At 38.2% G+C, this 26,117-nt stretch overlaps 3 pseudogenes across 1 annotated transcript in view; all 3 read left to right on the top strand.

Annotated features, from left to right (window-relative positions):
• The window catches only part of ANKRD18CP (ankyrin repeat domain 18C, pseudogene), an 82,850-nt pseudogene that overhangs the window by 31,275 nt on the left and 25,458 nt on the right, over positions 1-26,117 (top strand). Inside the window, exons 3-10 of the transcript NR_136286.1 lie at positions 6,903-7,009; positions 10,874-10,939; positions 11,255-11,324; positions 11,803-11,989; positions 12,628-12,765; positions 15,670-15,737; positions 19,961-20,014; positions 21,953-22,026. The product of NR_136286.1 is annotated as an ankyrin repeat domain 18C, pseudogene (transcript). The remainder of the gene's footprint in view (positions 1-6,902; positions 7,010-10,873; positions 10,940-11,254; positions 11,325-11,802; positions 11,990-12,627; positions 12,766-15,669; positions 15,738-19,960; positions 20,015-21,952; positions 22,027-26,117) is intronic.
• On the top strand, positions 7,323-12,117 carry ZNF322P1 (zinc finger protein 322 pseudogene 1; annotated as a pseudogene).
• RNU6-798P (RNA, U6 small nuclear 798, pseudogene) lies at positions 14,443-14,545 on the top strand (annotated as a pseudogene).

Raw genomic sequence — 26,117 nt, 5'->3', positions numbered from 1 at the left:
TGTTTTCCATTTGCTTGGTAGATCTTCCTCCATCCTTTTATTTTGAGCCTATGTGTGTCTCTGCATGTGACATGGGTTTCCTGAATACAGCACACTGATGGGTCTTGACTCTTTATCCAATTTGCCAGTCTGTGTCTTTTAATTGGAGCGTTTAGTCCATTTACATTTAAAGTTAATATTGTTATGTGTGAATTTGATCCTGTCATTATGATGTTAGCTGGTTATTTTGCTCGTTAGTTGATGCAGTTTCTTCCTAGCCTCAATGGTCTTTACAATTTGGCATGATTTTGCAGTGGCTGGTACTGGTTGTTCCTTTCCATGTTTAGTGCTTCCTTCAGGAGCTCTTTTAGGGCAGGCCTGGTGATGACAAAATCTCTCAGCATTTGCTTGTCTGTAAAGTATTTTATTTCTCCTTCACTTATGAAGCTTAGTTTGGCTGGATATGAAATTCTGGGTTGAAAATTCTTTTCTTTAAGAATGTTGAATATTGGCCCCCACTCTCTTCTGGCTTGTAGAGTTTCTGCCAAGAGATCCGCTGTTAGTCTGATGGGCTTCCCTTTGTGGGTAACCCGACCTTTCTCTCTGGCTGCCCTTAACATTTTTTCTTTCATTTCAACTTTGGTGAATCTGACAATTATGTGTCTTGAGTTGCTCTTCTCGAGGAGTATCTTTGTGGCGTTCTCTGTATTTCCTGAGTCTGAATATTGGCCTGCCTTGCTAGTTTGGGGAAGTTCTCCTGGATAATATCCTGCAGAGTGTTTTCCAGCTTGGTTCCATTCTCCCCGTCACTTTCAGGTACGCCAATCAGACATAGATTTGGTCTTTCACATAGTCCCATATTCCTTGGAGGCTTTGTTCATTTCTTTTTATTCTTTTTTCTCTAAACTTCCCTTCTCGCTTCATTTCATTCATTTCATCTTCCATCACTGATACCCTTTCTTCCAGTTGATCACTTCGGCTCCTGAGGATTCTGCATTCTTTACATAGTTCTCAAGCCTTGGTTTTCAGCTCCATCAGCTCCTTTAAGCACTTCTCTGTATTGGTTATTCTAGTTATACATTCTTCTAAATTTTTTTCAAAGTTTTTAACTTCTTTGCCTTTGGTTTGAATTTCCTCCTGTAGCTCGGAGTAGTTTAATCGTCTGAAGCCTTCTTCTCTCAACTCGGCAAAGTCATTCTCCGTCCAGCTTTGTTCCGTTACTGGTGAGGAACTGTGTTACTTTGCAGGAGAGGCACTCTGCTTTTTAGAGTTTCCAGTTTTGCTGCTCTGTTTTTTTCCCCATCTTTGTGGTTTTATCTACTTTTGGTCTTTGATGATGGTGATGTACAGATGGGTTTTTGGTGTGGATGTCCTTTCTGTTTATTAGTTTGCCTTCTAACGGACAGGACCCTCAGCTGCAGGTCTGTTGGAGTTTGCTAGAGGTCCACTCCAGACCCTGTTTGCCTGGGTATCAGCAGCGGTGGCTGCAGAACAGCGGATTTTCATGAACCGCGAATGCTGCTGTCTGATCATTCCTCTGGAAGTTTTGTCTCAGAGGAATATTCGGCTGTGTGAGGTGTCAGTCTGCCCCTACTGGGGGGTGCCTCCCAGTTAGGCTGCTTGGGGGTCAGGGGTCAGGGACCCACTTGAGGAGGCGGTCTGCCCGTTCTCAGATCTCCAGCTGTGTGCTGGGAGAAGCACTGCTCTCTTCAAAGCTGTCAGACAGGAACATTTAAGTCTGCAGAGGTTACTGCTGTCTTTTTGTTTGTCTGTGCCCTGCCCCCAGAGGTGGAGCCTACAGAGGCAGGCAGGCCTCCTTGAGCTGTGGCGGGCTCCACCCAGTTCCAACTTCCCAGCTGCTTTGTTTATGTAAGCAAGACTGGGCAATGGCGGGTGCCCCTCCCCCGGCCTTGCTGCTGCCTTGCAGTTTGATCTCAGATTGCTGTGCTAGAAATCAGCGAGACTCTGTGGGCATAGGTCCCTCCGAGCCATGTGCGGGATATAATCTCCTGATGTGCCTTTTTTTAAGCCCGTCGGAAAAGCGCAGTATTAGGGTGGGAGTGACCCGATTTTCCAGGTGCCATCTGTCACCCTTTTCTTTGACTAGGAAAGGGAACTCCCTGACCCCTTGTGCTTGTGCTTCCCGAGTGAGGCAATGCCTTGCCCTGCTTCGGCTCGCGCACGGTGTGGTGCACCCACTGTCCTACACCCACTGTCTGGCACTCCCTAGTGAGATGAACCCGGTACCTCAGATGGAAATGCAGAAATCACCCGTCTTCTGCGTCACTCATGCTGGGAGCTGTAGACTGGAGCTGTTCCTATTCAGCCATCTTGGCTCTTCCACCGAATTAAAATGAATTTGTCTCATTTAAATTAGCTAGTTGGTGGAACCTGTGGAATATGTATTTTGAATTATTAGAATTTATAGTCTAATTTTTTATCTAACACTAATAGGCTGTACACTGCCAGGAAGAGGCTTGTGCCATTATTTTCCTGGAACATGGTGCCAATCCAAACATTAAGGATATCTACAGCAACACTGCTCTCTATTATGCTGTGTATAATAAGGGGACTTCACTGGCAGAAAAACTGCTTTCCCACCATGCAAATATTAAAGCACTAAACAAGGTACAGATCAGTCAACTTTCTTTTCAAAATGTTTGTTTTAACGTTGACATAGGTAAGAGTCAATTTTTCATATTTGGAACTCAAGTTTTCCTGAATGAAAATGTTTTGAAATAACTTAATTGTCTAAAATTTTACTTTAAATATTGATACTTTTAAAGAAGTATTAGAGGGCACAGCTATTTTAGTGCACTTATGGGAAGTATTTGTGAATTTGTTAAGGTAAAACTTCTTTTCAAGTATTTGTTTCCTACCCCCGGTGTATTTTTTTTCTAATTAGTGTAAAAACATCACAGGAAAAAAAATTGCCCTGGAAATAGGCTTTATCTTAAAACTCAAAACTAAAACAACTTACAATAAATGGAAGTCTTGCTGCTGCTGATGGTCTTCTGACAAAATGGATGTATCTTTCATGGGCAAGGTTTAAGAGGGAAAAATAGGAAGGGAAAAGGAGAGCAATCAAAAACATGCAGGTCACTTGGAAATTAGGTAATGAGGGAAAATGCCAAGAAGAGGTTTTGTTTTTTAGTTTGTTTTTTTTCCAGTTTATGTATTGAGACAAAACACTCTTCAGCTTTGGGGTAATCATTTTTGGTTTGGTAAAAAGAGTGACTGAAACTTGCCTAAAGATTAATTTTTAGAGGACTCTGAGGAAACCAGATTGGCAGTGAATATACAGTGATGAAGTGAGAAACACTTCAGCAAAGGGTGGAACAAATTAGTAACTGACTTACTACACATCCTGGCAAAAACAGCAACTTAGCTAAGAGTCTAAACTCTCCTTTCAAATCTAGAATATCTTGGTGGGAAGGTGGGAGATGAGCAGCTTATAAATAGCAAAATCAACTGGGATTTTGAGTTTACTTGTCCCTGTTATACCCACACCCAGGAAAATTCACTGGAGTTTTAATACATAACTCTTATCTCATACTCTTCTCTCTGGCCACATCCCAAGCTAATAAAGGATATTGGCTGTGTGGGTGAGAGATGAAACTGAAGTGATTGTCTGCTGCAGTAATTCTCAGCAAGAATTGTGCATTACAGTGACCTCGGGAAATTTTGTTAAAAGTCTACAAGTGTAGGCTTTCCCCTGAGGATTTTGATGTTATAGATCTAATAACTTCTGAACACGTATGGTTAAAAATATTTTCTTGAAGCCATGCACAGTGGCATGCTCCTGTAGTCCAGCTACTCAGGAGGCTGAGGTGGGAGGATTGCTTGAGCCTAGGAGTTTGAGTCCAGCCTGAGGTGGGCAGATCTCGAGGTCAGGAGATGGAGACCATCCTGGCTAACATGGTGAAACCCCATCTCTATTAAAAATACATAGTAAGGCTCTTGTCTCTTACAACAAGAGCAAAAAAAAAAACCTAAGTGTTCGAATACACTCCTGATTAAGAAGCACAGAATAGATAAGTGCAGTATATAAATTCCCGTATCTCAAAGACATAAGAAATCTCTAAAAGAGTTGGCATTTGATAGGTGCTACTTTCTTCAAAGTTCTCTTTTCCAATAACATTAACCTGACTTATCTGTCTTTCTCTACGTTTGTGACTGGGAAGTGAAAGGAAATATCACTGGCAACATCTCTCAGCTTACAGAATAACACCTTTTGCTTCCCACCATGAATCATTCACTGCCATTCAGAAAGTTTTTAGCAATTTACTTGTGGGTAATCTTTCAACAAGTAGAGACTGACCCTTTCACAATTTCATGTTCCTTTGTCACCATTCAAGCGATTATGTGTCAACAAGTGTTCATTACAAGTGAAATTTTCTCAATTAGATCAGTAGCAGATCTTGAACCTTTTTTTTTCAGTTGCAGTTGTATTAGGGACTATCTCAGTATGTCTATTAAGTTTATAGAGCTTTGGCATTATCAGGATGTCAGTTTTAAACACTGAAATCCTTGAAGTCAGTGAGAATACAATAGGAATTATTTTAATAATTTAGTTTCAGCATTCCTATGAAGTAATTATCTATTTGGTTAACAATCTGGGAAAATTATATACACATAGATTGCAAATGAATAAATGTTGGGAAAATTCTTGAGGTGGGTATTATGAGTGTTAACAGCAATTTTTATTATGTATATATCAGGGCCTGAGTTTTTTTATTAAACATATGATACTAGAGAAAGAAAAAGTTCCACATGCAAGTACTTGGTTTATACACAATCATTTAGCAACACATTCATGGCAAATATAAAAACACAAGGGCTGTAGTCTAAATGTGGCATATAGATTTGTTCTTTGCCTCTTTGAATTGATTCAACATGTAAACTTTAGTGGACTCATGCAGAAATCTGGACATCAGGCTTAAGAATCAAATCTGGTGTCCCCTGAACCGCATCACTGCTTGGTCTGCTGTGCAGAGGTTGCCCTGTGTAGGAGGCACATATTCTCCAGTTTGCTACTGTGTCCACCTGAGTACTTCACTTACTTAGGTAACCTCCTTCATCCTTATAAGTATTTGAGTTTACAACTCCTTTTTTATCGTATGTTTTCATAAAGAATTCAAGGTTTTCAAGACACCATATATTGGTTCATAATATATAGTCTATAGTTTATATAAGTCCCTCAATTATAGAGTTGAATTTTAGAATTCAGAAGTCTTTTTAACTCTTTTTTTATATCTATACCACAAATAGTCATCTGCTCATAAGAATGCCTACCTGTTTTTTTATATCTATACCACAAATAGTCATCTGCTCATAAGAATGCCTAGAAGCCTTTTTAGGTTATTCCTGCTGAGAAGTGGATAGATTATGAATATTGCAGACATTATATCTTTCTTCTTAGCAATGTCCCTTAAAAATACAAGTGATGGCTGGGTGCGATGGCTCATGCCTGTAATCCCAGCACTTTGGGAGGCCAAGGCAGACAGATCACAAGGTCAGGAAATGGAGACCATCCTGGCTAACACGGTGAAACCCCGTCTGTACTAAAAATACAAAAAATTAGCCGGGTGTGGTGGCAGGCACCTGCAGTTCCAGCTACTTGGGAGGCTGAGGCAAGAGAATGGCATGAACTCAGGAGGTGGAGTTTGCAGTGAGTGGCGATCATGCCACTGCACTCCAGCCTGGGTGACAGTGTGAGACCCCATTTCAAAAGACAAAAATGCAAGTGACTTACTGGCTTTTATTATGCTAGAAATAAGCCCTATACATCAGTATTAGAACTTTTTTTGATAAGCCATTGTATTTTTATTTCTGATTTATATTTTGCCTAAAGTAAAAAAAAGTTAAATAGCAATTTAAATGGAAATCAATACGAATGGATTTAAAAAGTAAAGTTGCATTAGCATCCCAGGATTATCATTATAATTGAGAATAGAATTTCTTCCTGAGCTTTGCTTTTTAATATTTATTTTCAAAAATTTTTAACTGGTCTGTCTTACACAGAACATACTGAGCTTTCTAATAGTTAAGATTAAAATCTATCCTCTTGTATTAGGAAAAATCCCATGGACTATTTAATAATAAGGAAAATAAGTGATTTTGAAGCCAATCTCTCTTAATTCACAGCTCATTTCCTTAGTGGCCCCTTTGGATCAGGAGTGCCTGACATTGGCATCCTGACAACATTGATAGAAGTAAATCAAGCAAGTTTGTGCCACCGAGAGGAAACCTCCACTTGTATTGGGAAGCTCTGGCAACTGTATCCCTGAAACTCTAGTTCCTAAAATGTTAATGTTTGCCACAAAAAGTATTGTCAAATTGAGATTAGGCAAAGTTCAAGGGATTTCTAGATTGTTGGCCATGTAATATAATTTTGTAATACTTCTCAAATGCAGATGATCATGGAATCTTTTTGTTGGGGTACAGTTCTTCTGGTAAAACAAATATTCTTCGAAATATAGTTTAAGAAACACGGCTCCAGAGATAATAATTTAGATCATTAATTTATTTTAAAAACTTAAAGCATTCACTACTATGTCTTAGGTTTTAGGGTTATAGAGAAAAAAGATACAGCCCTTGCCCTCGAGAAGCTCTTGGTTTCAGTGGGAAACAATGAAATAATTACAATGTACTGTGCTAAATGCTGAGACAGAAGCAAGGATTTTTGGGACTGGTAAAAAAGGGAGTTTTGGAGATGACCGAAGTTAATGTGGGGAGGCAGAGGAGGGGTGTTCACAAGACAGTGTGTGGGAAAGCACAGAGGAGTGAAAAGGACGGGACTGCTTTGCATTTACTTTCTCTCTATATTGCATGTTTAAGTTCATAGCATCTTATAGAAGATTTTTAGTTCAGTTGAGAAATACATACTTTTGTGAATTATAAATTGTTTTTGCTTTTTACAGGAGGGAAACACTCCACTTTTGTTTGCTATAAATTCTGGGAGACAGCATGTGGTGGAATTCTTATTGAAGAACCAGGCAAATATACATGCCGTTGACAATTTCAGAAGGTGCAATAGTTTTTGTTTTTGGTTTGTTTGTTTTTTTTCCTAAAAATCTGAGTGTTCTAGAGTGGTAAGAGTCACTCAAGTCAGAACTGTTAATAAGATTTAACTTATAATTATTGGCATATAGTAAAAAATAACATGAATAATCAGTTAGGTAGAAAAGCAGTTATTTGGACTGAGCAACATAAAAAACAGTATATAGTAGGATTCATCTTCTCTTATAGACTGTTATTTGTAATTTGATGTTTTTGGTCCTGTAATCTTATATTAGCTAAAGGGGTTTTGTATTTTATTAATTTTATAAAGTGTAGACTTGGCGCCGGCCTCTTCCCAGCCAGCTTGAAAGGGTTTGCGTTGCCGGCCTTGTGGGCCCTTGAAGCGCTCTGTTAAAGCGCTCTGTGGGCGGCCTGGCCCCAGCTCCTCTAGTCTAGGCGCACGAAGGGAGTTGCTCCTAGGTCTTGTCCGTGCCGGGTTCGCTTTTCTTTCCTTCCCGAAGCCTGGCCCTTAGATCTACTATCGCAGAGTCTGCGGCCGCCAGGAAGCCCAGATTCGAGTGTCCGGAGAGTAACCGGAAGTGCTGTCCCCAGGCCTAGGGGCGGCGCCGGCGGCTGCCAGGGAGAGGCAAGAATTGAGTGTTGTGAATAGTTCTGAACTAGAGACCTTTTGAAACCAAAAGGAAGATGGTCTTGAGTCTTTCTTGTTACGAATGCTATCTTCTTTGAGAAGTCAAATAGTCAGGATCAGGAATGTATGTTTTCTTCCATCTGGATTCTAGGGTTGGAAATACCAAGTAAGGAATTAACATATATGATGCTGGAAACTTGTAGAGGCTCATGATTGAAAGGCCTGAAACAGATGTATCTTCCAAGTTCTTATCAAGAAAATGACTGTGAGGGCAACGATGGGTCAAGAAGACCAGCGGAAAACTCCCTAGGAGAGAGCCATAGAAAATGTACACTTCAGAAGAGAAATGTAATCAGAGAACTCAAAAAAGGAAAATATATAATGTATGCCCTCGGAAGGGTAAAAAGATTTTTATTCATATGCATGAGATTATTCAGATAGATGGTCATATATACCAGTGCCTTGAATGCAAGCAAAACTTGTGTGAAAACTTAGCTCTTATTATGTGTGAGAGAACCCATACTGGGGAGAAACCTTATAAATGTGATATGTGTGAGAAAACCTTTGTCCAAAGCTCAGATCTTACTTCACACCAGAGGATCCACAATTACGAGAAACCTTATAAATGTAGCAAATGTGAGAAGAGCTTTTGGCATCACTTAGTGCTTTCAGGACATCAGAGAACACATGCAGGTAAAAAATTCTATACATGTGACATTTGTGGCAAGAATTTTGGTCAGAGTTCTGATCTGCTTGTCCACCAGCGAAGCCATACTGGCGAGAAACCATATCTATGTAGTGAGTGTGACAAATGCTTCAGTAGAAGTACAAACCTCATAAGGCATCGAAGAACTCACACAGGTGAGAAACCATTTAAGTGTCTCGAGTGTGAAAAAGCTTTTAGTGGGAAATCAGATCTTATTAGCCACCAGAGAACTCACACTGGGGAAAGGCCCTACAAATGTAATAAGTGTGAGAAAAGTTACCGACACCGTTCAGCCTTCATTGTACATAAAAGAGTTCATACTGGGGAGAAGCCCTATAAGTGTGGTGCCTGTGAAAAATGCTTTGGCCAGAAATCAGACCTTATCGTGCACCAGAGAGTCCACACAGGTGAGAAGCCGTATAAATGCCTGGAATGTATGAGAAGTTTTACTCGGAGTGCCAACCTAATTAGGCACCAGGCAACTCACACTCACACTTTTAAATGCCTTGAATATGAAAAAAGCTTTAACTGTAGCTCAGATCTTATTGTACATCAGAGAATTCACATGGAAGAGAAACCACATCAGTGGTCTGCGTGTGAGAGTGGCTTCCTCCTAGGAATGGACTTTGTTGCCCAACAGAAAATGAGAACTCAAACAGAGGAGCTACACTATAAATACACTGTATGTGATAAAAGCTTCCACCAGAGTTCAGCCCTTCTTCAACATCAGACAGTACGCATTGGTGAAAAACCGTTTGTCTGTAATGTGAGTGAAAAAGGTCTTGAGCTTAGCCCTCCCCATGCGTCAGAAGCCTCACAGATGTCTTGACCAGGCGAGAAGCTGTAATACCAATATTAAAAATTATTTATGTATCAGAGAACTCATTAAGATGAGGACAAATCTCAGACTTTGCTCAGAGCTCAGAATTCAGTGGGGACCAGAGAGCCTGCAATTGGAAATATGAGAAATTCTTTGCCCAGAGAGCTGCCCTAACAGAACACTTCATCCTCACTCCAACGAGAAATCTACAGATGCCCAGAGGTTTTGAAAACTTACCGTCTGAGCTCAAATTTGATCACTCACAAGAGGATTCATACAAGTGGGAAACCTTAGAAATGCACTGAGTGTGAGAGAGCTTTCTACTAATGCTCAGCCCTTCTCGTTGTAAGAGAATTCACACCGGAGAACAACTTTTTAAATGCCTTCAGTGTCAGTTGTGCTGCAGACAGTATGAACATCTCATTGGACCTCAGAAAACCCACCCTGGGGAGAAGCCCCAGCAAGTGTGAAAAAAGCTTCTAACAAAACTCTGACTTACCCATCAGAGAAGCCATACTGGTGAAAAATTGTATATTTGTCTTACGTATGGCAAAAGCATTCATTGGAGAGCCTTACTTGGGTTTGCACCCAAAAAAAAAAACCCAATCTGAGGAAAGACTGCAAGTGTCTGAATGAAGAGTGCTTGTCAATGATCAACTCTTGTGGTACATCAGGGAACTCACATAGGTGAAAAAACCCATACTTACCTTGAGTCTGAGAAAACCTTTGGTAGAAGCTCCTGTCTTATCAGGCCCCAAAAAACCTGTTCTGCAGTGAGAGATTTAATTGTGGGTGAGAATCTATGTACATATGTATGAGAAGACTGTTCTCATAGTTAGTTGACTCATATGGTAGAGAGGACTTTACATGAAATCAGTATGAAAATAGTTTTTTAGATACCCAGAAGCTTGTTCTGGGAGAAGCTAGGGCGGGTCAGAGTAGACCTGATGGGTAACTCAGGTAAAGATGCTTTTCTTTTATCTGAACTACTTAATGATTGCTTTACTTTTACTTTTTAAAAAATTCAGAAATCCAATAAAGGAAAGGACGGTAACCTTATGATAGAAGGTGTGGCATGTGTTACTGTTGGGGGAAAGGAGTATATTGACTTTGCCTTGGTTGATATTTTTATGCTTGTCTAGGATGGGACTAGAGTGTTGATAGTAACATGGCAGCCTTTTGCTGGCAGTGAAATGAACTTAAGAAGCTAGGGAGTAGCTATCCTAGATCAAAACTCTCCCAATAGTTTTTCCTTTGCAGGACCAATCTTATAAAGAAACAGCATACTCAGCTTTTTACTTAGTGTCAGTTGAGGCATACTCTCAAAAGTTTTTTCCCCTAAAATATCTTTCAAGTTATTACTGGTATTTGAAATTTCAAGTTTAGAAATTCATTTCTTTTTAACTCAAAGTGCAAATTTCATATAATGATTATGATGGTTTTAGTGTCCATATTTTTGTGACTTCACTTATCATCTCTTTCAGCAGTAGCTACCCACAGTCAGCTCCTAGTAAAATGGCTACAGGAAAACTGAAAGAAAAGTTTAAGCCTGAGTAGGCATAGAGTAAAAAATGCATAATGATGCATTATTAATATAAGAGTAAGGCTTTTTTTATTTTGAGTATCCTAACTCCAAACCTAGTGTTCTTTTCACTCCATTATCCTGCTGTTTATAGCAAATCAAGACCCATAATGATACGTCTTTCATTTATTTCAGTTCTGCCAAGGAAAGAGAAAATACCTTTTAATCCCAGGGAAAGGATTGCAATCACCACATTATAAGGTATATGGCGTGGAATGCAGAATTCTAAATACTAGAAGGGAAAAGTAGTTGGCAGATTCATCAGAGGCTTAAGGATAAGTACTTGTTTCCAATTTAAAAGTATAATTAGGATTGTCTTTAATGTTCTCTAGAAATACTATAATTAATCTAGAGATCTATCAATGGTCACATCTCAGTTTTTTTCTTCCCTGAGATTCAAAGACGTGTAATACCAATACTTCAGATTCCTATAGTATTTGGGACTTTGTAGACTAGTGAATAGATACTTTGTTGCTAGTCCAAATCCTCTGATTTTGGTTTGATTTGTCCTAGCAGATCCCTGAACTTCAGAGAGTATTGCCATTTGGATTCATGGAGTTGGCGAACTGCTACACTGCTACCTTGTGTATGGCTCTAAGCTTTGATCCTAATGACTGGTTGATGATCATGATAATATTAGGGCCAGTGAATATAGCTCATAGTGATAATAAGGATTCTAGGGTATTTTTTTTTTCTTTTAGAAAAAGATCCTGGAAGTTTATTTGATCTGACATGTTTTTGTAATATTTAGAAATAGCTCTTGTATCATAAAAAGTTGCCCAGTATAAGACACACAAGATGTATTTTTTTCTCTGGTGAAAATCATGCCTATCACTAGTATATGTTTGACATTTGTAGTATACTTAAAATAGTATTGGGTGTGAGGCATGGTGGTGATGAAAAGTAGTCCTTACGGCTACTTGTTAGTCATTAGAGAGAACATGGAGAAGGGGTCAAAGTTGGTATCATTAACAGGGCAATGACTTGACCCTTCTTTCAACTGATCTTACTGGTAGTTGTCTCTAGTTTTTAAGTAAATTAATGATGGACCATCCCCCAAACAGAGAACTATGGGGGTATGAAACAAGGCTGAAGGCTTTTAACCATGGGAGAAAAAGGTGTTGGTATTATTCATATAGCATAACCTGAGGTTGGAGAGGACCACTTGGGAGCCTGTAACCAAAACTAGAAGGTAACTTCTGGGATGGACGGAGGTTCCCTTGAAGCAGTGCCAACCTAAATCTACCTCAGGTAAGTAGTTAGATTAACTTTTTCAAGATTTCAGACCAAACAAGACAACTTGTATTCAGTTGATGTATTCCTATGCTTTAATGTTTTTGTTTGCCCTTAATTATTAAATAAACATTTGTTCTGAAAAAAAAAAAAAAAAAAGTGTAGACTTTAACTTTCAGTTTACAACTACTGCTATTACCATTATCATTATTATTATTATTATTATTATTGTTGTTGCTGTTGTTTTCAGTATGCAGATAGCTCTTACTTATTTGATCCCTAGCTGACTTTGAATTACAATATATCAGACTAGGAAAGCAATGGGGAAATCTTCATCTAAATCTTTGCCTACTTTAGATAAGTGACCTCAGCACAGTTTCTTGGCCATCAAAGGACTATAAATTAGCAACTTGTATTGTGTCATATCCCAATGGAACATGAAGCTTGCTTGTTGTCCCTGCCGTTTAGCCTTGGTGGTAATTTACCCAGATGAACACTTTAGCACCCAAGATGCTTATACACATAAGCTAGTACATGTAAATGGTTACTATGTCTATCCTGACAGGCAAGATATGAAATTGGTAAAATGTATCCAATTTGCCAATTAAATATCTTTATTAAAGTTCTTAAGTGCTGTTATTTCTTTATTATTTTAGAACAGCCCTCATGCTTGCAGTACAGCATAGCTCGTCAAGTATCATCAGCCTCCTCCTTCAACAAAATATAAATATCTTTTCTCAAGACATGTTTGGCCAAATGGCTGAGGATTATGCTGTTTATTGTGATTTGAGAAGGTATGTGCTTATATTAAAAGACCAGTTAATACTAAATTAAGGTTTAAAACAATTACAACTATTGCATCTTATATATTAGGTGACAGTTCATAATTTGGTTGAGGTAGTTTGGAATGGCAACAAGTTAGTCCACTTTTTAGCCAGAAATCAAACAGAAATCTAGACTAGTTAGAAGTAGCAATGAGTGCAAGATTCTTTCTGGACTTTTAAAGACCTTTATCCCTAGGGATCTCAGTGTTCATTTTATTCCAAGTATAACCCTTATATGTGAGATAGAAATAATGTCACATCTTTTACTTTTTCTTTCTTTTTTTTTTGTTTTTGAGACAACATCTCACTATGTTACTCATGTTCCTGAGCTCAGGTGATTCTCCTGCCTCGGCCTCGCAAACTGCTAGCCATCGTGCCTGGCCTGACTTTTCTAATTAGTTATTGGGTCTTGAAATGTCCACTTTAGCAGAAAATCTTGTATTATCCCCTGAGGCTATCTCCTATGCCTTCCTCCTTTGAATTTTTCAAAAAGCTAAGGGGTTCCCTAAGCCCAAGGAAGACAATCTTGCTTTACAAGTCAGAAGAAGGGGGGAAAAGGCCATTCTAATCATTCTGTTGTTTCCATTGATTCACTTACTGTATTGCTGCCATTGTAACTGGTCCTGCAATCTGGTAATGATTGACTTTTGCCACCAGGATGCCCTTACTGATTCAGATCCATCACTCTTCATGGTGACTCATACACAGAGTCCACAGCTACAGTGTTTTGTTTTGTTTTGCTTTTTTGAGACGGAGTCTTGCTCAGTCGCCCAGCCTGGAATGCAGTGGCACAATCTCAGCTCTCTGTAAGCTCCCCCTCCCAGGTTCACGCCATCCTCCTGCCTCAGCCTCCCAAGTAACTGGGACTGCAGGTGCCCGCCACCATCCCTGGCTAATTTTTTTTTGTATTTTTAGTAGAGACGGGGTTTCACCATGTTAGCCAGGATGGTCTCAATCTCCTGACCTCATGATCCACCCGTCTCAGCCTCCCAAAGTGCTGTGATTACAGGCATGAGCCACCGCACCCAGCCCACAGCTACAGTGTTTTTTAGTTCATGTACATAGGCTCAGCCATTGTTCCCAGCACCCTGCTCTGGCAGCGAGGCCTCCTGGCTCTAGCCACACACATAGTGGTAAATTGACCTTCCCCCAACATTAAAAATCTTATTTGTAGCCCACCTCTTGGCTAGGCTTAGCCTATACCTTCATGGTATGTTATCCTTTGAGACCAGTGTCCATTTTCTCTAGCAAATGTTAATTGGGATTTTACTCAACAGTTAGGGATGTTCAAATAATGTTGCAGGAAGAGAGAAGAGGTCCCTTTGCCTTTTGTTATCACATCTGTACCTTGAGGCTTTTTTCTGACCTGTGTAGCAGCTTTTGTTAGATAGCAAAAGGTTCCACATTATCCTTCAATAGAGTAATGGGCACCTTGGAGTTGGCCCCTCAAGTAATGTGTTTCCATAATAATGAAAATCTCTCAGGCTACTTGCATCTCTACCTCAAGTGTTTAAAATATTTTAAAATTTTACCTCACAGAAGTCATTCAATAGAATTCTCTGTATCTAAAGTAGGTAATTTGGGTTTAACAGAGCTAAGCCTTACCCATGACTCATCAGTATCCATGTATAAAACAGGGCTTTATACTTGTTTCAGCAGCACATATTCTGAAATTGGATCAATACAGAACAGATAAGCATGCCTGCTGCCTAAGGAGGGCACACAAATTCAGAAAGCATTCCACATATTGCACAGTCCCCAGAAGGTCATTTGACTATTTGTTAACTAGCTTCTAGGAAACAATGTGAGTCAAACCAAAACGGGAGACACCCGAGATGGAAATTGTTATTATGATCATTATAAAAGTATTCATGTAAGGTGATCTGTGAAATGAGAACAGAGCTGAGTAGCACATGGGATGTTACATGCAAATATGTTGTTAGTACATGACTTGGAAATGAGGAAACATCAACTTGCAGCTCTTTCATGGAACTGAAAAACAATACAAGCAGGGCTTTGTCTTGTATGTCAGTCGGAGAGGACCAAGAAGATGCAGCCCCTAACACAGACCTGCTGGCTTTGAGTTTGAGGAGGTAGAAAAGGAATGGTAGTTGTCCCAGCCAGGTTTTGACACCTATTAGTTTTCTGCCCTTGGTGTGATTGATGAGCTCAGTAATAGGGGACAATTAGGTTATATGTTTTAATGAGATAATAATATATTTATATATAAATTTAGTTACAAGTTATGAACTAGCTAAAATGCTCTGAACTACAAGCCGCAATGAATAGAACTAATATAACCAAAATTAGCACATTCTCTGAAAACCGTGACATTCAAATATTAGAACCTATGGAAAAACACTCATCAGGTTTTATTTGAGATTCCAAAATGGTTTCAGCAATGCAGTTCAAGAATAAATTTTTCCATTGCTTTACTATTTCTCTGAACATTTAAACATGTTATCTCATTACATCCTCCTAACGACCTAGTGAAGTCAAGTAGTAAAATCTTTATTTTTTGGAAGAAGCCATGGAGCCTAAGAGAAGCAACTGGTCTGAAAATAAAATACCTATTGGTTACAGAGCGAGGACTTACTCTGAATGCAGGACAGTTTCCAGACTGTTAAGCTAGCTAACTAGAATTAATTTACTGAGCTATGCTTTTCTCAGTTTATGAGTACTTCCTGTTTTTCTTCTTTAATTAGAAGCTTAATAAGTTTATAGAGCTTAAAATTTTAAAGTGTATTAGACATTAGAGTTCTGATATTAGCTCTGATATTGTCTGAAATGCTTTAAGAATTTAATCTGTTTGGTAAAGATTTTTCATATCACTATTAAAATACTAATTTTATTTATTACATTTATTATGCATAGCATTCAACAACAAATTTTGGAACATAAAAATAAGAAACTTAAAAATCATCTTTGAAATGACAATCAAGGTAAGACTTCTGATAGTAAATTTCTGATTTCCCTTGGTGATCTTACTGATTTTAAAAAAGCAAAATTACAGGCCAGGCATGGTGGCTCACACGTGTAATCCCAGCACTTTGGGAGGCTGAGGCGGGTGGATCATCTGAGGTCAGGATTTTGAGACCAGCCTGGCTAACATGGTGAAACCCCATGTCTACTCAAAATACAAAAATTAGCTGGGTGTCATGGCGGGCGCCTGTAATCCCAGCTACTCGGGAGGCTGAGGCAGGAGAATCACTTGAACCCAGGAAGTGGACATTGCAGTGAGCTGAGATTGCACCACTGCACTCCAGCCTGGATGGAAAAGCAAGACTCTATCTCCAAAGAAAACAAAAAAAGTAAGATTACATATTTTTAATCATAAAAGAGCAGTTTAAAATATATATGTTTATATATAAATTTTTTAAAATTTCTTTAGTTTAGAATTCAGAGTTATTTAAGAAGTTAGTTGTAGCTAATTCTCAGTCTCAAACAGTATTGTCTGAAAAAATTCATTTACCTACTTATGATCCCTGAAATTCTACATATTTTTGTATTAATATAAATAAGAAATTAGATTAAGTTAATATGTTGCATTTTCTTCTATACATTGTTACAAATTGGACTTGTTATGCAAATGGATCTTCTATTTAATTTTTATAGTAAATGGTTTGCATTTAGTAAATAAATCTTAATTACAGTTGATTCTTGAATATTGTGGGGGTTAGGGACTCTGATCCCTGTGGAGTTGAAAATCTGAGTACAACTTCAACTCCTTCCAAATGTAACTACTAATAACCTACCATTGACTGGAAACTTTAGTGATAACATAAACAGTCAGTGAACACGTATTTGTATGTGTTGCATTATTACATACTATGCTTTTAGAATAAAGTAAGCTAGAGAAATGAAGCTGTTATAAAGAAAATCATAGAAAATAAAAAAATATACTTACTATCCATAAACGTAAGTGAATCCTCCCAAAGGTCTTCATCTTTTTCATCTTCAGGTTGATTAGGCTGAGGAGGAAGAAAATGGTTGGTTTTGCTGTCTCTGAGTTGCAGAAGCAGAAGAAAAATCTGCATATAAGTGGACCCTTGCAGTTCAAACTCTTGTTGTTCAAGAGTCAACTGCATTACATAGGAATTTGTGTCACTAAGAAAGTAACTGTCTTTAGAACTAGGAATTCGAAAATCCCTTTCTGATACCATAAACAAATGGCAATAAGAATCATAAAATGGAGCCAGTGTGCACCCATACAAATAGAAGATTATTTTTGAAGATACCTACTGAATGCAGAAGACAGAAAAGTAATTCCTTTCCAAGAAGCAGAAGTTATGTTACATATTCTTATACAAACAAGGTCTATTTTTAATTTATTCACCGTAAGTTGGAACTTCATGAGATATATTCACTTCTTAGAACAAGCTGTGTTTTTTTATGTGCTGGATAATTATCATAATAATAGTAATTTTATTGGAACAAAATAATCTGTTACCAGGCTGGGCGTGGTGGCTCATGTGTAATCCCAGCACATGGGAGGCCAAGGAAGGCATATCACTTGAGGTCAGGAGTTTGAGACCAGCCTGGCCAACATGGTGAAACCGTATCTCTACTAAAATTACAAAAATTAGCCAGGCATGGGAGTGGGCACCTGTATTCCCAACTACTCAGGAGGCTGAGGCAGGAGAATTGCTTGAACCTGGGAGGTGGAGATTGCAGTGAGCCGAGAATGCACCACTGCACTCCAGCCTGGGTGACAGAGCAAGATTCCATCTCAAAAAAAAAAAAAAAAAAGTTACTCTGTTACCATTAGGCAAGAGATAATCATAATAAATATTCCAATAGCCAAACTCTAGGCTCAAAAAATTATAATAAAATTATAAAAATGGTTCACAATAACAAAAATATAACACCTAATGCATTGTACAATCTGAACTATATAAAGACACCTTTAATTTAGTACATATTTATCAAACCACTTCTATAAGTTAGGTTTGGCAAATTGCAGGAGACAAAGATGGAATTGACATAGTTTTTGTCTTTAAGGTGCTCATAATAGAATATAGATAACTTTAATTTTTGTGTTTTTTCAACAGAATTTTTAAGAAAAATAATTCATTCAAATACTTGTCCATTTAAATAATAACTATCATGTATCTGTTATAGACTAAGCATTTTCCAATGTTTCAAAATGCATTTAAAAACTAGAGTTAGGAGATTGTTATTACCACTGTTATTTATTTTATTTACTACCTGAAATAGTGCTTACTGTGTGTCCAATGTCATCTGGGAGCTTATAGTTATTTATTACGTATGTATCATGTTCAGTATGTGCCAGGCACGTTTATGTTTGTGGTGATGAATGCAATCTTCTAAAATGTGGGTAGGATTTAGGGTAAGTGTGTAGAGTGAGTGGAACTTTGCCAGGTAAGGAGGCAGAGGGATGATGCTTGGCAGAAAGAGTATCTAACAAGCTTGCATGTTTGACAGAAGCAGAAGCCACGAAGAATGAAAGTTTTAAAACACAAGGAGCAAGTTCAAAAGATAGGACACCTGAGTGAACTTTGTAGAGTTTATGAGCAGTTCAAATTTACTAGTGCAAAAAAAAATATGGAGTGCTTGGTAATGAGGTGAAAATAGCTTATAGTTATTATTTATTATGTATTTATTATGTTTAGTATGTGTCAGTGAAGGCAAGCTTAGGAAAGACTTTGTTGTTGTTTTACCTGTGTCTAGAAACCAGTTCAATAAAAGACTTTTAATAGTATAGAAATGAGTAGATCTTATGCTGTAGGCCAGGGGAAACTTCTGAGGTAGAATGCTTTTGGCTACAAATACTAGAAGACCTAACAGTGGCCAAAACCATAAGAACCAGACTTGTTTTGGTTGTCCGGTGTTATTATTGGATCCCACTTGTTCCTCTTTCAGCTATGCTGTTGGCAGTGTCTTGTTGATGTCTCCCTTCATGGTTGGCTACTTAGCAACAGCTCCAAACATCATGTTCTCACAAGACAGTATCTAAAGGCTGGAAGGGATGCTTTTCTTCACGTGTCTTTTAAATTGGGAGAAAACTTGCAGGGGACTTTTTGTAATTTTTTTTTTTCCTTTGGGGATGTAGTCTCGCTCTATCACCAGTCTGGAGTCCAGTGGCATGATCTCAGATCACTGCAGCCTCCACCTCCCAGGTTCAAGCAATTCTCCTGCCTCAGCCTCCCGAAGAGCTGGGACAACAGGCACATGCAACCACACCCAGGTAATTTTTGTATTTTTAATAGTGATGGGGTTTCACCATGTTGGCCAGGATGGTCTCAGTCTCTTGACCTCTTGATCCGCCTGCCTCAGCCTCCCAAAGTACTGGGATTACAGACATGAGCCACCGTGCTCGGCCCTTTCTGTAATATTTTATTAGCTGGGTCACACCACATGCTCATTCCTAAACCAGGCACTGGGAAAGCAAATGTAGTTATGTGATTAGCTTAGAATAATCACTTATCTTTTGAAGCTGAGGAGGGAGAGGTATTGGGATAATAAATACCCAAACAGATTTGTGATTCTCCAGCAAGAAACAACAAGGAACTGCTCTTGGGTAGGGAGCCAGCAGTGTTTGCTCTAGAAATTCATTGGAAAAGTGTAAACAGGGGAGGCATTAGATTCAATTTGAGATATAGGGCATTCTGTTGAGGGTATAAAGCAGGGATTGGCAAGCTTTTTCTGTAAAGGGCCAAATAGGAAATATTTTAGGCCATGTGGTCTCTCTCTCTCTCTCTTTTTCAAGAAGGATTTAATGATTTAAGCAGCTGAAGGCCATGTGGTCTCTGTTGTAGCTACTCAACCCTGGCATTGTAGTGTGAAAGCAGTCATAGATAGCATGTCAGTGAATAGGCATGACTGTACTCTCATAAAACTTCATTGAGAAAAAACATATGGTAGGCAGGATTTGGCCTGTGGTCTGCAGTGTGCTGACCCATTATGTAGAGGGTAGACGGAGGATAGATGTCACCTGGGAGCATATAGTTATTATTTACTAGGTATTTATTATGTTCATTAGATGCCATTCACTTTTGAATTTGTGTTGATGAGTGCAAGCTTATAAAAAAAAATGGGTAGGATTTAGGGTAAGCACGCAGAGTAAGTGAAACTTTGCCAGGTAAGGAGGCAGAGGGATGATGTCTTCCAGAAGGAATATCTAAGAAGCTTGCATGTTTGACAGAAACAGCAGCTATGAAGCCTGCAAATTTGAAAAAAAGAAAAGAAGGTGCAAAAGGTAAGACACTTGAGTATCTCCACTCTTAACCATGTAAAGAGACTGGGAGACAAGGGAAGCTTCAGCCATAGTTAATGCTATAGTTTCCTTGTCACAAATCCATGGAGTACATGAGTCTATTACAAAGTTTTCACCCATCCATGATAAAATAAAATGATAGAGCTCCAGTTTATTCATTTGAAAATATTGGTGTTGCCGGGGATGGTGGCTCCTGCCTGTAATCTCGTCAGTGTTGGAGGCTGAGATAGAAGCATCCCTTGAGGCTTGGAGGTCCAGCAACCTGGGCAACATCACCAGACCCCGTGACTATTTTTTCAAAAACTGTAGCTGGATGTAGTGTTCTGCACCTGTGATCCCAGCTACTTGGGAGTCTGAAGCAGGAGAATTACTTGAGCCTAGAAGTTTGAACCTGTAGTTAGCTATGATAGCAACATTACACTGTAGCCTGGGTGGCAGAGTGAGACCCCATCTCTAAGAAAAATCAAGTCAAATAAGATAAGATACAATCAAATAAAATGTTGGTCTTTTTCTTGCAATTACGCTTTTCTAATTTGTTTTGCTTTTTTAAAAAATTTAAGAAATGACAGTAATAGTTGGTTTATATAAGGCTTTCAGAAACTGGCTTCATCTTCTGCAGCCCTTTCTCTGTCTGCCCCTTTTTCTGGCATTACTGCGCTGCTGGTGATGCCTCTGTCACCATCCTTCTCATGTAGATAAATACATATGCTCTGGGAGGCTTCTCTCCCTCTCTTGCCACTGCCTGGCATGTGTTATCATTGCTGCCCTCTGCCTGTTTTAGTCTGGTGAACCTCACTGTCTAAGTCTCAGCCCAGGCATGATCTCTAGAAAAGCCATCCCTGACAGCTTTTATTCTCATTCTTTAAACCCCAGTGCCTACCACTTAGCAGGAACTCAATAAATGTTTAGTAAAATAAAGACTGTTTATACAAAGATGATTGCTACAGTCTAGCAACAAAGGGGATAGACATGCAAAGACATGATGTGCAGCTCAGATGGTGAAGTGACACTAGAAAAATTCAAAAAGTACTAAGAGAGCCCCAAGGAAGGAGACACCTGTGTATGTGGAGAAAGATAGCCAGATTCAGGGAGGACTTCACATAGCATTTTGAGCCTTTTTTCCTTTTCTGTTTTTGGAAACAAGTTCTTACTCTGTCACCCAGGGTGGAGTGCAATGGCATAATCGAGACTCACTGCAAACTGAAACTCCTGGGCTTAAGGGATCCTCTTGCCTCAACCTCTTGGGTAGCTGGGACTACAGGTACACACCACCATGCTTGGCAAATTTTCTATAGAGTCAGGGTTTCACTATAGTCTCCAGGCTGGTCCTAAACTCCTGGCTTGAAGCAGTTATCCCACCTGGGCCTTCCAAAGTGCTGGGATTACAAGTGTGAGCTACTGTGCCCAGCCTGCATTCTGAGTCTTAAAACACAAAAATAAATTTGTCAGAATAGTAGAGGAAAATATTTCAGATATAAAAAACAGGGTGTACACTATAAAGATGTAACAGTAACAAAAATTTTGCAAATTATTAGTAAATAACAACTTACTTAGCATGTTAAAAAGATACTATTATGAAGTAGAGAATAGTAAAGTGTTACTTTATATGTTTTTACTGTATTTTTAAATTTTGTTTTGTTTCCAGCAGTTTCGTTTTTTTATATTGGGTGGAATAATTTTTGGATGACCCTGAGACTTTTGCATGGCTTGAACCTGCTGATATCTAGTGTCTCCCCAAGTGGTTTGTTAAAGTTTTAGATAATTAGAAGTGTTTCTTAAAAATGTAAATATTCCAGTAAACATTAAGCTTCATTTAAACTCTCAATTTATAAAAGTATATGTTGTTTTGTATCAATTTTTATAAAGATGATAGTCTTTATTTTAAGTCATTGATTTTAACTAAACATATGGATTTGTCAGCAGAACACGACTTAAAAGTGCCTTCAGAGGAAAAGCAAGAAAGGCTTGAAAGAAGTGAAAATAAACAGCCACGGGTATGTAACAATTTAAATTTCTGGTTTAATACTGGTTTGTTTGTTTTTCTTTAATAACATAGCATAGTCCAAATGAAGTGACCTTTTAGACTATCCTTTTAGAATCCAACAGAGCATAATTTCATATTGAATTTTAAAACATTTTAGCCTGTTTTAAAATTTAAAATATTCTTATAGTCTGTAGTAACTCACAGCTATCTGTACCCTTGGAATTGAGGCCAGAAATTTCCAGAACTCTCTTTGCTCTTTTATTTTTATAACCTTCTTCATGATAAAGAAGGTAACATCAAAAATGGAGTTGTATTACTAAGCAAGAGAAATTATGAACAATTGAACAGTGATGGCCACTGAGTTCACCTCATGTTAAAGGAGTCATCATTCCCAGTGGTTCAAACTTTGCAGTCTTATGTTGCTGGTCACCAGTGCTGAGGTTAAAGACTTCATCTGTTTTTTGGTTTCTGGTTGCCTTCGGTGTCTATGTTCAGGGAGAGGATGGGGTCATAAAAGCAACCCAACTGCCTACTGACAGAATTATGCCTTCCAGAATGGGACTTTGGTGTCAGGGTACAAACAATAACTTTCTTGTTTTAACATAAATAGAAAATGCTATTAAAATTTTTAACCCACTGTCACTAGTGGAGCTTAGAATATATTAGATGTGGATATACGCAGATAATCTATCTAGATAAGACTATCATATTACAGTATAACATTTGAAGTAGAATCTAAAAATTTTCTTCTCTTTCTGATTGGTATTCATTTTGGCTTCTAATAATTTAACATTTGCCTACTCTTTAGTTAATCCTCAGAAATATGAATTCACTGTAGGGGTTCACTAGTTAGGGTATGCTGAGGTAAAAATCTTTTCAAGAGAGAAAGCCTTTAGAATACTACATATCATCTGTGAACCCATTTCTGTCAGATTTAATTGATAATGAATTAAATTTACTCCAAACAGAGTTAAGCTTCCTGGTTCATGTTTTTCTCCTATATTAAGCCAAGGCAAATTACTTTTTACTTCTTAGTTATAATCCAGTAACTTGGGGTAGTAAAACATAGATTAAGTTTCACAGTTCAATTTTAATTATTTTCTATTTTTCTTTGTTCATACTTAATTTAGAATAAAATTAATTTTAAAACATGCACCCTGTCAGAAAAGACATCTGAGAAACAAAAGAAGCAAATTAATTTTCCACTTTTGCACCTGCAAAAAAATGCCTCAAGAACCAGAAATGAGTAAGAATTGTAATAAAGAAGATATATCTATATATTCGGGACTTCCTTTAAAATTCATTACAATGCCAGGTGCGGTGGCTCACACCTGTAATCCCAGCACTTTGGGAGGCTGAGGCGGGTGGATCACCTAAGGGCGGGAATTCAAGACCAGCCTGACCAATATGGAGAAACCCTGTCTCTACTAAAAATACAAAATTAGCCAGGTGTGGTGGTGCATGCCTGTAATCCCAGCTACTCAGGAGACTGAGGCAGGAGAATCGCTTGAACCTGGGAGGCAGAGGTTGTGTTGAGCCAAGATCATGCCATTGCACTCCAGCTGGGCAACAAGAGTGAAAGTCCATCTCAAAAAAAAAAAAAAATTCATTACAAAAAAGTTCAACTGAAGATTGGTGAAAGTTTTGAAAAATGCAGAATTACTGTTTGTCCTGAGGAAGAGCTCTTACATTGTAACTTTAAAGAGGGACAAACTTAAAGGGAGTGCCCCATAATCTGATGAATCCTATCCCTGATGGTGAGGAAGCAGATGCACCTGGAGTGTCTAACTCTGTGGTATTCCAGGCATTGCCTGAACAGAAGGAGCCCATCTCACTCAGGTCTTGTCATTGCATTTATACTCTGGGTCCCTCCAGCACACTTGCCAGTCATCTTCTAAGCTTTATTCAAATGAAAATAGATCAGACTGTAAAAATTATAACAAAGCAGACATGTAGCCTGTTTCTCACAGAGATGAAGAAGAAAGAGAATTGTAATGATATAGAAATTGAAAAATTAAGGAACCCAGTAGTTATGGCTGAAATGAAAAAAGACCAAGAGTTTGATATGCAAATACAAGAAAATATAACCCAAAATACCACAGATTGGAAATTAGTCATTAGACATTGGCCTCAGTCTGGAGATCCAAAAGTTCTTTTTGATTTGTGGTTTGCTCACTCCAAAGAATGGAGGCATGTGATACAAATAGAAAGCTACAGTATTTCTGCTGTTACAGACACTTAACAAAAACCGAAAACCAATACAGCGCTTCCACAAGCCACATGGAACTTAGAAGCTCTTCTAAAGCTTAGAAGGTGTTTGGCAAGTGTGTTTCAGGGACCCACATATGACAGTCCCACTGCTAATATCTATGAAAGCATGAAACCTGAATTAGAAAATGTGAGTTATTCTCCACCACATAGTGACAGAACATCAAAAGCATATGTAGAAGAAGACTTACAGCAAGATATGCAAAGGCTTAAGAATGAGATGGGCTTGTTACAAGTAGAGTTCCTGGCTTTGAAGAAAAAAAGTTCAACTATAAAAAGAAAGAGGTTCCCTTGCTGCTTCTCTTATTATAAGTTATCTGATTCGTTCTGGTTTTCTACTCAAGAAAATCTCATGTGCATAGTTACAGTGGGGTTATCTAAATGTGTAATTATGTGTCAAAGTAGATTAGTGCTGCTATCTAAATGACGGTTCTGGAAAACATTCTCATAATCTTTGATCATTCATTAACCTAAGTCTCACTGTGAGTCTTCCAGGTGGCATATGGGCTGGGAAAATTATTTAGCCATATACCATGTGACCTTCTGAACCAGATAAGCATAAGGGAAATTGCTAAAGAAATAATGTCTAGATTCTTTTTTCTAAATTCATTTAAAGATGAATTACATTTATTTAAATGATAAAATGGTAATACAATGGGAGGGAAGCAATGACTGAGAAGAGACATGAAAATGTATCTGACCTTGAGAGTTGCAACAAATATTCCCAACCAAAGAAGTCTGTTTAATGTGCATTCATGCATGCAAGTTTATCTGTTTGACTCAAACTGTTTAAACTTATACTTCCATCATGGCCACTTTAAATATTTTTGGAAACAAATATATATACATTCACATATTTAAGAAAATCACCACTCTCCAGTGTTTCTGTTGAATCAAGAGTTTTACATGATGTTGTTTAATAAAATATGGTAGGTTTTGGCATGTATGATTTTATCATATAAGTAGCATAACTCCTCAGCCAAAAATTTAGCATTTGACTCTATAGTAGAAGGCTGAGTTCTGTACATTTTGTTCTAAAGACAGACAAAAATCTAGAGATTCTCCTCTTTCAAAGTAAAAGCAGATGAGGCCCCACCACCACCCTCTGAGCCATTAAATTGCTTTGCCAAAGTCACACTTTTAATTTATTTGACAGATTTGATGTATTTATCTGGTAATTTATGTAATTCAGCAATATGTAATTGTATCTTCCCTTTTGGTGCCATGAAATACTAGGTAATGCCACCTTAGGAGCTTTGGATGAGTTACTTAATATTTCTTGGTTTTACTTCCATTATCAAGTAGATAATGGGGCTAGAGTGGACAACTCTACTGTATATCTTCCAGCTATAAACTTTTGTGGTAATTGAATGTAAACTTGAGGAACATCTCATTTTCCAGGATTCTGCACTAGCAACTCAGCTGTTTCACTCAGCTCCTTGTGTTGTGGCAAACTTTGGTTCCTCTATTTCAGTGAGCGCCTTCACTTTTTTGGTATCCCAGGATCCAAAGGAAAAAATAAGCTTAGTTCAGAAATGGGAAAGCTTCTTTTCTGTTTCTGAAGACCCACAAGGTCACATCCTCTCAATCTGGCTATTCCATGGAGAATCCAGGTGACAAAGGCAGAAGACACATTTTATGCCTGTGTCTTTTTGTTTCTCTGTTTTTGTGTTGATATATTTACACCATAGAAGTAACCGTGATCTGATGTAGAACTAGAAGTAGAGTCAGAAGCCCTGAGGAAAATCCTGCAGCTTGCTTATATATTTATTCTATTGTCAAATCACAATAGAATATGATCAGGGAAACAGAACTTTTAAAACTTTGAGAGAT

The sequence above is a fragment of the Homo sapiens genome, chromosome 9 (assembly GCF_000001405.40).
Source record: "Homo sapiens chromosome 9, GRCh38.p14 Primary Assembly".
Classification (NCBI taxonomy): domain Eukaryota; kingdom Metazoa; phylum Chordata; class Mammalia; order Primates; family Hominidae; genus Homo; species Homo sapiens.
The sequence above is the reverse complement of the archived record's forward strand: the minus strand, read 5'-3'. Positions and strand labels throughout refer to the sequence as shown.